The 12,473-nt window shown below is 42.6% G+C and overlaps 2 protein-coding genes and 1 pseudogene across 5 annotated transcripts in view; 2 read left to right on the forward strand and 1 right to left on the reverse strand.

Annotated features, from left to right (window-relative positions):
• CAPN14 (calpain 14) overlaps window positions 1-10,932 on the reverse strand; it is a 60,902-nt gene extending 49,970 nt beyond the window's left edge. For 2 of the 4 annotated variants that reach the window (NM_001321270.2, XM_011532865.2), the window contains exons 1-2: window positions 10,766-10,932; window positions 3,503-3,626 (exon numbers count right to left, since the gene is read on the reverse strand). The gene's annotated coding sequence lies outside the window, so the exon portion shown is untranslated. Of the gene's footprint in view, window positions 1-3,502; window positions 3,627-4,630; window positions 4,730-8,732; window positions 8,922-10,765 lie in introns of all 4 variants that reach the window. The other 2 variants (XM_047444407.1, XM_011532864.4) reach the window with 2 other exon arrangements.
• RNA5SP90 (RNA, 5S ribosomal pseudogene 90) lies at window positions 5,287-5,385 on the forward strand (annotated as a pseudogene).
• Window positions 10,933-11,126: 194 nt separating the features above from the next.
• The window catches only part of EHD3 (EH domain containing 3), a 35,300-nt gene continuing 33,953 nt past the window's right edge, over window positions 11,127-12,473 (forward strand). Inside the window, exon 1 of the mRNA NM_014600.3 lies at window positions 11,127-11,823. Coding sequence (NP_055415.1) covers window positions 11,597-11,823 — 227 coding nt within the window. The 5' untranslated portion in view covers window positions 11,127-11,596. The remainder of the gene's footprint in view (window positions 11,824-12,473) is intronic.

Here is a 12,473-nt window from a genome sequence, read left to right on the forward strand (position 1 = left end):
GAAGAAGACTTTCACCAGAACCCAGCTATGCTGGTGCCGTGATCTCGGGCTTCCAACCTCCAGAGCAGCCAGAAATAAATGTCTATTGTTTATAAGCCACCCAATCTACAGCATTTTGTCCTAGCAGCCTAAACTGACTAAGACAAAAGGAGAAGTGTAAACTGGAGACAGGAATGTTTAAGGTTATCAGCATGCAGATGCAGAAAGAAACGGAAATCTTGCAAGTGGGCAATACCACGGTACTAAATTGATTATCTTTGGCTCACCCTCTATCCAGAGTTTTCACCAGCCCATGTGACAGCACTTCAAATGTAACTTTCAAATTTTTAGCTCCTTAAATTATTCACACAGCACAGTTTAGGGTGACCAGTTCCCTCACTGTTAAATATGTCCCATCAGACCCCATCTGGAGCACATCAGTCAGTTCAACATCCTACCCTTCAGAAAGACAGTGACACCTCCCCTACTCTGCCTCATTTTAAGTACTAAGCTTCTGTTTCTTTTTCTTTTTCTTTTCTTTTTTTTTTTTTTTTGAGATGGAGTCCCAGGCTGGAGTGCAGTGGGACAATCTCGGCTCACTGCAGCCTCCGCCTCCTAGGTTCAAGCAATTCTCCTGCTTCAGCCTCCCAAGTAGCTGGGACTACAGACGCCCACCACGACGCGTGGCTAATTTTTTGTATTTTTAGTAGAGATGAGGTTTCACTATGTTGGCCAGGCTGGTCTCGAACTCCTGACCTCGTGATCCACCTGCCTTGGCCACCCAAAGTACTGAGATTACAGGCATGAGCCACCAAGCCTGGCCGCTTCTGTTTCTTTATCTGGGAGAATAATGACATTTTGAGCTGTCACTGTGCAAATGAAATGAAGTCATCTATGTAAGAATACTTAGCATAACACCTGACATATAACAGGCTCTCCATCAATGTTGATAGTCATTTTTTCCTATGTTTGTTTTCATACAGCCTGAATCCCATCGTCATTTTTCGCAACTACATCTCAGTATTGATCCACGTTGAGTGTGTCATCAGTTAAATCTCTTGTCTCTTTAACATGTGAATTCCGTCCCATCCTGTAAAGGAAAAGCCTTTTGAGAAGAGACTGGGGCAGTGCTTTAGTATTCTTGTGGCTATCAATAGAGAACTCCTCAAACTGACTGCTTGCTCCTGAGACTCTTCTACGGTCTCAGCTTCCATTGATGGCACCACCATCTACCCAGGCTCCCAGGAAAGAACACTCAGTACATAACACACATATACATTTACATATGAAGGCTTCTATACACATACAAATATATATGTCTGTTAAAGCTGAGAAGATACTACACACTAGATGCTTTGCTTTGGTAGAATATTTTTTTTATCCAGCCAAAAGGAAAAAATAAGTGTTCAAAGAGATCATCATGCCCAAGCCAAGGGGTGAAGAAGTTGAGGTGGGGAGAGAAAAAAGAATCCAGACAGGTACCAGGATATCATTGAAATCATGAACAAAACAAGAATGCTCACATCTTTGTTGTTTTCAACACTGTTCTGAAAATTGTAGCCAAAATATGAAATATACATTATAAACCAACATAGTATTAATAAAAAAGAAAAGCACTGGTTGATAATCTTTATGTAAGTAGAAAAACAAAGAATAAACTAAAATTAATAAATAGTAAATAAAATAACTATATATATTGTTTAAATTAATGGGATTCCTATATATAACAATAACCAGTTAGAAGGTACCATAATAGAAATATTTCATTTGTAATAATAATAAACTATAAAATATCTGAGAATAATCAAGGAATGTTTTTGACCTATTTGAGGAGAACTATAAAAAGTTTATAGAGATATAAAAGATTTGTGAATAAATAGACAGTCATGTCATATTCCTGGAGGGAAAGATTAAGTATTAAAAATATGTCATTCCTAAAATTAATTCACAGTTTTAATGAGATTCTGATTAAGAGATCCCAATGATTCGGTTTTGTAGGAGAGAGAAGACAAGGAGAAGGTAATTGGCGAAACATTAAAATTAACTTGGATTAGACACAGACAAAAGATTAATAAATGTCCTTACTGTAAAAATTAAAAACTCTTTCAAAACAATACGAAAAACACTAAATGCTTTTAGAAAAATAAGGGAAAAAATAGACAATCAGAAAAATATAAATGGTTCATAAACAATTTCAAAACTTTTTCATAATAAAATATATACTGATTTTTAAAAGTCTATCATTTCTCACTTCCCAAATTGATGGATATTTTAAAATAATAAGTTTTAAATTTTTAAATGAGAGATAACTACATTTTAATAAAATGAAAATATTTTAAAATAATAACATACAGGGCTGGAGTGAGAGAAAAAAATGTAGGAACTCTGATATCATTGTGGTAAGTATATAAATTGATGTGCCTTTTTTGGAAAGCAATTTGGTGATAAGTATCAAAAGCATTAATAATATTCCCAATAATTTCATTTATTAAATATATACAAAGAAAATAAAACCATGGATGAATATTTACATACAAAAATGTTCATCTTTCAATGATGATCACAGAAACAGAATAGATAACTCTGAAATAGAGCTTTTATTATTGTTGACAATAATTTTGCAAATGACTTATCTGTCCATTATTGAATATAGTTAATTAGATTACAGAATTTCCATATGGCTGAATATTAGCATTCATTTCAATTTAATTATTGGAATATTTTTTCAGGATATGTAAAAACACTGGTGGTATGGTGTTGACTGGGGGAAAAGATCAGATGGTAAGTTAAATATAAGTGCACAAAAGAAAAGATTGAAGCAAAATTACCCCCAAATTTTCATAATTACTTTTCAACTGGAAAAAATAAAAGACAGAAAGGGAGAGGAGGAGGAAGACAATGATGAAAATAAGAAGAAAGTGAGAATATCTAAGAAATTTTAAAAACATACTAGTAAGGGAGGGCGACTATTCATACCAGATATTAAAATTTATCAAAAGTTGTTGTAATTTAAATGGCATAATACTAATTTAGGCAAATAACTCATGGAAACAAAATAGATAACTCTGAAATAAGGATTGTGTTATCTAATAATTTATAATAATTTATCTTTAAGATTTGACAAATCAAAGGAGAACAGAAGATCATTGAACCGAGAGAACTAGTAAAGAATGCGGAAATAATTCCTGATACATTATCACCCCAAACTTTAATACCCCACTTTGTCTGCCTGTGTATTTTTAAATATCCCACGCTCATAGGTTCTGCCTTTATCAGGTTCTCTGTGCTCACAGACATTTTTGTAGTCATAGACTTATCTGTTATAACATATAAGGTTATAATAATTGGCCAACTACAGGTAATTCACATTTCTAATCTTTGTTTGCTTGTCAAAAGCCACATCAGGAATGAGTCAACTTCAGTGCCTGCACCAGCCCTGTGCAGGGTTAAAAGAGAGCTTTTCTCCTCAAGGTGCTTCCTCTATCTCCCCTGGCAAAGAGACAGACATGTAAACAACACTTACAGCCCGGGAAAGATGCTCAGGAACTGGTGCTGGTCCTGGGGTCCTTCAGCATGGATTTTTCTGCTTTTGGTGTTTCCCTTACCCAAGCGAGGCTGTTGAGTGGGATGGTGCAATCAAGATCCTGCTGGCAGGGACAGACAGATATATTTGGGTTTGGAACTAATAACTTGTTTCTGTTTTTGCACTGATCAAGCAGCTCAGAGCCCAGTGTGATGGCTGCTCACCTCTGGGGGCCTCCTGCTCATCTCCCTCTGATATTTCTGTACCATTCACCTGCCCATTCCCCTCATATCAGCTGCCTCAAGGGTTCATTTATTTTTTAGAATTCAAGGGATTTCGGTAAGCTGCCTCCCACTTTTTGTGGACTGAGGGGAAAGTGAGTAGGATGATAGATAGCTCAATCAAAGATGCCTGTGTGGGCAGTTTCCTACCTCTCTGCACCTGAGTTTCCCTCTGGGAAACATCCCTATCTTCCTCTTCAGGATTGCCATGAGGACTAGATGCCCACGCTCTGGAAACACCTGTGCTACAAAAGCAGACACTGACCATAATTAGGAGATTTTCGAATTATAGCTCACATCTTGCAGGTAGCAAATGTCTTGCCTTTGGAAGTTGAGGTTCTTAGAAGCAGGCATCTTATTAAAACCAGATACACACCGCTGCCTCTCGTGGTGTGGGCTTTCCTCCGTGTAATATTGGATTTCTCAGGTTAGCTCTGCTCCTGCTGCACCCAGGGATGAAACTGACTTTCTGCCAAGGAGAGCTGCTATGTATGAGACAGCCGCATTCCAGCAATTAAGTAGCTGTGGTACCGATGGTATGAATGGGGAGTGTTATTCCTGGACAGCCCATCAACTAGACTCAGACAGACCCTCTTTCTTCATCTCCTTTTTGGCTTATAAACTTCCTAAGCACAGTTCCCTCACCTGTGTATTTTTATTCTAGACTTCCCTTTCCTTGTGCACGTTCAGTACTCATTCATCCAAGGGGAAAGGGAACTATTTATTGAGCGCTTACTATAGACTTATAAAAACGTATCAGGTCCTTGACCTACATTGTTTCATTTTATCCCCACAACAACATTGTGAAGCGTCATTGGCACTTTTCTGCCTTTGGTGTTTCTCTTACCCTGGTTTCACTGATGAGGACCTTGTCATAAAAAGAGGTTTTAACTCGGCCTGATCTCATCAGTAGGAATTGGCTGAGCTGATGCACTTTCGCCTCCAACTGAAGTAAACAGAATGAGTACAGCACTGCGTCAGGCTGAAGACGTGCCCTGTCTAGTTGGAAGGCAAACAATTTAAACATGTAATTATAGTAACATGTGATGAATGCGGTAACAGAGGTTTACGTGGGGTAGCTTGGAAGTGGGGAGAGGGGCACAGCCTTCTTATGGGAGAGCTGCTGACTCAGCTCTTCAGAGGGCGGACCACCACACTGAGCCTTAAGGTATGAGTGGGTGCCCACCAGGCAGAGGGTGGGGAAGGGAAGACTGAGGCTGAAGACAGGGTGTGCAAAGGAGCCCGCGTGGTGAGGAGCAGGAAGCAGCTGTGGGAGGCACGCATGCGTGCATGGTTGTAGGCAGGTCACCAGGATGCAATGGTAGTTGGGCCAGGTTGAAAGGGGCCATAGATTCCTAAGATTATGGACACTTGGTCCCACTTCCCAATTCTTCTAACTCCCCTAGCCAGGGCTCAAACTTGTATTCCAGGTTGCTGCTACAGTTTCCATCTTCTCCCTTTACTTCTGGCCAGACTCTGGTGTTGTGGATGAGAAAGGGAAGTGTCTGTATCCACACCACCCTGAATGCACCCGATCTCATCTGATCTTGGAAGCTAAGGAGGGTTCGGCCTGAGTTAGTATCTGAGTGGGAGAAACAGAAGAGATGGAAAAGTCTTCTGTTTCATAGTGTCACCCCTAAGAACCCAGAGCAAACACCACAGATATCACTACTAAAAATTATATTCCTTTGAGTCAATGAGCCATCCTCAGTTAAGACACAAATGAAGTGAAAGAAGTTGCTCACTAACTTATTAGGTGCCAGCATATTAAATAGCTTATTAAATATTACAGCTATTAAATACTAAGCTTATTCAATAGTTTATTAAACAGCTTCTTAAATAGGATATAAGGCAGTGCCATGTAGTGGATAAAAGTAATAATCATTATAATATTAAGAACTAATACATACTGAACACTTTCAATGGCACTTTACATGCACGGTCCCTTTAATCCTGAAAAAATGCTATTGCCATCTTTATTTCAGAGACCAGGGTGCTAAGGCTTGAGAGTGAAGCCACTTTCCCCAAGCTCACACAGCAAAGACACGGGGACACCAGGACTCCATCTACTGCAGGTTGTCTGACTGGGAACCCCCATGCACCTGGCAGGTGACAGAAATAGGAGGCATGTGCTGGGTTTGGAAGAGACACCTGGTGGGAGAGGGCCCTGTGGAGCCAGATGGGGCTGAAAACAAATGTTGAATGCAAGAAAAGTCGAGTTCCAGGGGCATTACATGCAGCAGGATATGCTTTTTAGAAAAAGTCCAAAAACACTAAACTTCAACAATATGTTCTTTTGGCTTGCATTTGTGTATAACCGTAATTAAAAAGCAAGGGGACAACACACAGTAGATTCAGGATAGGGGTCCCCTCTAGAAAGAAGGAGAAGGGGCAGGAGACAGGATGGGGAGGAGCACATAAGTAGATGTAAATTGCTGCTAATTTTTCTAGTCCTTGGTTTGAATGATAGGTTCATCAAGGGTCCATTACAAAAACATGTGTTAAGTTTTTTAAAAATATAATAAAGGAGCCAGGTGTAGTTTGTCTTGAACCACAGTTATGAAAAAAATTCCAACTTTGTGCATCCAAGGACCAGATTTTTTTTAAAATAAAGGATAAAAGGAATAAGAAATGAACAGCCAAGTATTCACTATCAAATTTGAGGAATAATAGCCTGGCCAACATGGTGAAACTCCATCTCTACTAAAAATACAAAAATTAGCCAGGTGTGGTGGCTCATGCCTGTAGTCCCAGCTACTTGCGAGGCTGAGGCAGGCTGAGAATCTCTTGAACCCAGGAAGTAGAGGTTGCAGTAGGCCAAGATGGCGCCACTGCACTCCAGCCTGGGTGACAGAGCAAGACCCTATGTCCAAAAAAAAAAAAAAAAAAAAGGAAAAGAAAAAGAAAGAAAACAGTGTATATATAGTATATAGCTGAAGCTCCCTGTGTACCCATCCCCAATTCCATTTCCCTTTTTTGTCCCAGAGAACACCCCATTCCTGACTAGTGTTTTATGTTCCTTTGCTTCTCTTTTTAAAAACTTCAATGCACACATATGCATCCATGAACAACAGATAGTGGTTTTTGCATGACCTGAAACATTAATGAAATTGTATGATTCTATGCATAATAGCCTACTTCTGGCTTTATTCACTCAACACCATATTTTGGCATAGGTAGCACCACTTCCCTCATTTTTCTCATCTGTAGAGTATGTATTTTTTGTAACTTTCATTTTAGGTTCGGGGGTACATGTGAAGGTTTGTTATATAGGTAAACTAGTGTCATGGAGGTCTGTTGTACAGATGATTTCATCACCCAGGTGTTAAGTCTAGTAACCAATAGTTCTTGCTTTTTGTTCCTCTCCTTCCTCCCACCCTCCACCCTCAACTAGACCCCAGTGTGGTATATATTTTATATGAATGTGGCACATTTATCCATTTACTCGGTGAAGGACATTTAGTTGTTTATAAATTTTTGCTGCTACAAATAATGTTGCCATCAACATTCTTAAGACTTATCTCCCTATGCACATGTGCAAGAGTTTCTCTAGATCACGCCTTGAAATAGAATGGAAGGAGATAGGTCATAGGACATGCACATCTTCAGCTTCACTAAGCAATGCCAAACTGTTTCCCAAAGTATTTGTGCCAGCCTGCACGCCCATCAGCATTTTATGAGAGCTCCCATTGCTCTACATCCTCACCAACCCTACCATCCAACTTTTTATTCTTGCCATTTTGGTGGGTATGGAGTGTTAGTGTGGTTTGGCATTTCTCTAATTACTAATGAGATGCAACATGTTTTCTTGCGTTTATAGGGCATTCATGTAGCCTCTTGTAAAAGACATTTTTGTAGCTCTTGCCAAGTTTTTTTCTATTGGAATGTTTGTCTTTGTTATCGATGCACAGCCATTAGTTCTATATTCTGGATGTGCTTTCATGGGTTTTTGTGTATAGGAAATATCTTTTCACTCACTTTTGTATTTTTAGTTGAACGAAAGTTTTAAATTTTGCTAGTGCTAAACTTAGTTTTTTTCATTTTTCAGTTTGTGCTTCTGACGTCTTGTTTAAAGAACTCTTCCTGACTTTGTGGTGATATATATGCAATCTCTATTGCAACTTCTGTATATGTCAGGCTTCCAAATTTCCTGGCTATTTACTGTGTTGTTATTCTGTTGGTCTCTGTGCCAAAACCATATTAACCACTGTAACTCCATAACAATGTCCACTAGGGCAAGTCCTCTTCGCTTAGTTGTTGCCATTGCTATGTTACTGTTGTCCTCTTCTCTTCTCTGTTCTCCTTTTTCTGCCCTCCTTCCCCTTCCACCTCTCCCTCTCCTCCTCCTTATTCTTCTTATCTTCTTTCTTCTCCTGGAATATCTAAGCTTTTTTTTACTATTGCTCTATAAGTTATACATTTTAGAATCACCTTGTCAATTTCCATGGAAAACCTTATTTAGATTTTGATTTCAATCATATCTCTCAATTATTGAATTTATCAATCATGTTGTAAAGAATTCACATGTTTGTGACAAGGAATCCTTCCACAATGGAACATGGCATGTCTCTCCCATTTACTTAGAACTTCTTTAACATCTTTCTATAAAGTTTTATTATTTTTCACATAAAGATCTTGCATATCTTTTGTCAGATTTATCCGTAAGTTTTTGTTCTTTTGAACACAGTATCTTTTTTGAATATTATCTTTCATGACCTTTTATTGCTAGTCTATAGAAATGCTCCATTAGTTCCTTTTTTAAACAGATAGATTTCAACTACTCAAGACTGAGACGGGAGTAGATGTGTCAACACGCACTTGGTAAATTAGATATTCGGAACAGACATTCAGCAGTAGACAATGGCATGGCCGTACTGATTACAAAATTCTTGAAATACTTCCATAATGGGGCCCCTTGATTTCTTTCCTGTCACGCTGGCCATACTGACCTCTCTCCGGGGACAGGCTCAGATCTCTCCAAGGTCCAGACGCCACTGTATTAACACCAGGCGTGGCACGGGGCCGCAAGCCTTGCTCCACTAGGAAGGCCAGTGTCTGTTCCGGGTGTTTGATTCTCATGCCTTGTGAGTTGTTAAATATCTTTAATATTACTCCTTAGGTTCGTATGTTGGTAGTAGCTAAACACCAAGGGTGAAATATTAATCTGAGTGAATTCTCAACAAGAGATGATCAGTTTTGGGGTTCAAGGAGGGAGTCGGGAGATCTGAGATGTAACTAAGGAGATTCTATTCAGCACTGGCCTCTGATAATCCCCCCTCCCCTGAAATCCCTGCAGCTTCACCACACTCCTCTTGAAGCTCCTGCAGGCACTTCAAACGCAACACGTTTTAGATTGAACACATTATCTCTGTCTGCTAAATCAGCTCTCTCTCTGCCTCCCCTAATTAGTGGAAGAGCTTCTCCAATGATCTTATCCCCTATGGTAGAAAATTCAAAATCATCCTAGACTGTGCCTCACCCTTATGTCCTCTTTTTTTTATCACATACCAAGATCTGACAATTCTATTCCATGAAAAAAATCTTTTGAGTCTGACCTCTTCTCCAATCCCATTGCAGCTGTCTCCTAAGTTTTGGAATAGTTTCCTAAATGGTCTCTTGGCCTCTGTATTCGTCTGTTTTCACACTGCTGTGAAGAAATACCTAAGACTGGGTAATTTATAAAGGAAAAAGGTTTAATTAACTCACAGTTCTGCATGCCTAGAGAGGCCTCAGGAAACTTACAGTCATGGCATAAAGGGAAGCAAACACGTCCTTCATAAGGCGGCAGGAGAGAGAAGTATGAGGAACCAAGTGGGAAGAGCCCCTTATAAAACCATCAGCTCTCACGAGAACTCACTCACTATCATGAGAACAGCATGAATGAAACTGTCCCTATGATCCAATCTCCTCCCACCAGCTCTCTCCCTAAACGCATGGGGATTATGGGGATTACAATTAGAGATGAGATTTATGCGGGGACACAAAGCAAAACCATATCAACCCCCAACCTCTTTTGCCCCTCCAACACTGCTCTTGGCATTCCAGTTCCTGCCTGGTCCATAGCCTACTCCTTCTTCATCTGTGGAAGGGAGGGTAGTGGGAGTCATTAGCCTGGGCAGGGAGGAGTGTTTTATCACTACACTGTTTAGAATGGTGCCAATACAAAGCACATCAACTTTCAGCAAGTTTATTATTGGGTTTAAATTCTCTACACACGATGCACTGCTTTTGCCTACACCTGGACAGTGTTCCCACTCACTCTCCTTAGTATGATGCTGGAGATAATATGATCTGCCATGAAGGTTAAATAAAGCAATGTTCACTGAGAACTTAGCCCAGGCCCCTGCACATGCTGAGCATTTTGTTAATGTAACAATGATTAGTAATAGCATTGCTATTGGTTCCCCATCTCTGGCAAAGCCTTTCATGCTTGGCCTCCCTCACTCTCTTTCACCTTCCTAAACCCTACACTCCAGCTATGCCAAACTGTTTACTCTGCCTTGGACACACCAAGTTCCTCAAGCCTTTGCAAATACTCCTTACGCTCCTAGAACAATGGATGTCAATTCATCATTTAGGATCCAGCTTACAGTCATGCTTTCCATGAAGCCTTCCTCAAATTAGCCACACAAAAGGAGTGACTCCTCCCTGTATTCCCATGACCCTCTGCTCATGCCTCCTCTTTAAAGCCTGCCTTCACTGGAGTTCCTGGAAGGGAGAGTCTGTTCAGCACTCATCTCTGTATCCACAGTCACCAAAATTGTAACTGCCCCATAATAAATTCCCAATACTTGCAGGGATTTTGCTTCTTGGCTTGTTTTGTTTTGCTGGAATGAATGAATAAGTAAATGGGAACGATTTTGACTTCACCCTAAGCCTAGCTAAAAGTTTGGGTAGTGACAGTTTTGGTTATTTTGTGTAACCTGATAGTGGATCCCCTTTCTATGCCAAAAAAAAAAAAAATCCCCCAATACTAGAGTACCTGTTTTCCTAGGGAATTGACCTCAGCAACTGAAGGAGAGGCGATTCAAAGCAGGGAGTGTGATGAATAGGTCAACTCTGTCCTCGCAGCCGTCCCTGAGAGGGCGCTGTTCCCAAATCGAAGCCCCAGAGGCGGAGACTGAGACACCGGCACTCTCCCACTGGACTGGGTCAGCATCCCTCTCCCCGCGCGGCCGCAGGTCTAGAGCTGAGCGCCTGCCCACAAACATGGCGGCGCCCTGCGCGGCTTCCCGTCGCCGCAACCGTGGGGCCGGCCCTGCCTTGCCAGTACTAGGGGACTTCCTCTGCGCGCCGGCTTCCTGCCCAGCTGGCATTTAAACCACCGCCTGGGGCTGCAGGATGCTGCTGCGGATGCAGAGCTGTCCGCGGGCTGGGCAGCGTCGCCGTCTCCCCTGAGCCGCCTCGGTCCGGCAGGAGCGGAGCCGAAGCATCCCTTGCTGCACGCAGGGCAGAGCAGGCGAGGGCTGGGGGCCGATCGGGGACCCCGGCTTGGGACCCCGGCATCTGGCAGTTTCCTTGCAGGTTCAACTTTAATTGCCAAGATTTCACCCCTCCTCCTCAAGCCCAGATTATTTATCCTCCCTCCGGCCTGGGCTGCTGGATGCAGCAGCGGCTGGGCTTGGTCCCAGGAGCAGGGAGAGTGCGCTCCCGGCCCTCCTAGCCGCGTGCCCGGGCCATGGTGCGGCTGAGCCCCGCGCTTGGGTGAGGCGGCGGCGCGGCTCGGAGCCCGGCGGACCGGTCCTACGGGACATCTTCCCCTGAGGAGGAGTCTTCCCCTGGGGCTGCGTGCCGGGGGCGAGCGGCGGCCGCGATGTTCAGCTGGCTGGGTACGGACGACCGCCGGAGGAAGGACCCCGAGGTTTTCCAGACGGTGAGTGAGGGGCTCAAGAAACTCTACAAGAGCAAGCTGCTGCCCTTGGAAGAGCATTACCGCTTCCACGAGTTCCACTCGCCCGCCCTGGAGGATGCCGACTTCGACAACAAGCCCATGGTTCTGCTGGTGGGCCAGTACTCCACTGGGAAGACCACCTTCATCAGGTGAGCCGGCCCAGGGTCCTGGCAGCCCACCCCGGAGCCCAGCGCCTAGTCCCTCCGGTCACTCCTGGTGCTCCATCCCAGACAGGGGACCAATGGGAAGCCTTCAGTTGAGGGCTCTGAAGAGATCTGTGTTTGTGCAGGCGTCAAAATCTTACCCCACAATTTTTGCTGGTCCCCCTTCCCATCCTACCCAATACCTGTCCACTCTACTTGGCCCTTGGCTGTGGTGGTCAACCTGAAGTATTCAAGTGTAAAGCCATTCCCAGTCTCCCCATCTTATGGATGATGAAACCGAGGCCCAGGAGGCACAATGGAAGAGCTCCTGGTCTCTGGAGCGCCTTATGTTGGTGGGGATGTCTTACGTCTTCACTTTTTAGCAACACATCATTCACGGGCAAAACCTCTTCCCTTGTTTTTCAAGGGGCTTGGCACTCACATGGGGGCCTCACAGTTGCAGCTGAGTTCTGATGGGTGCGGGCCTGGGAACGGAGGTGGCCTGGGGATGCTACTTGTCCTCCTTTTATCATTTCCTTCTCTAAAGCAGAGCTCCTGTGTATATATCTTGGAGACTCAACAGAAGCTGAGTCCAGAAGCAGAATGCTTTTTTTTTCCCCTTTCTCTTATTTGATCTTAATGGCTTAATAATAATA

This window comes from Homo sapiens, chromosome 2 (genome assembly GCF_000001405.40).
Source record: "Homo sapiens chromosome 2, GRCh38.p14 Primary Assembly".
Classification (NCBI taxonomy): domain Eukaryota; kingdom Metazoa; phylum Chordata; class Mammalia; order Primates; family Hominidae; genus Homo; species Homo sapiens.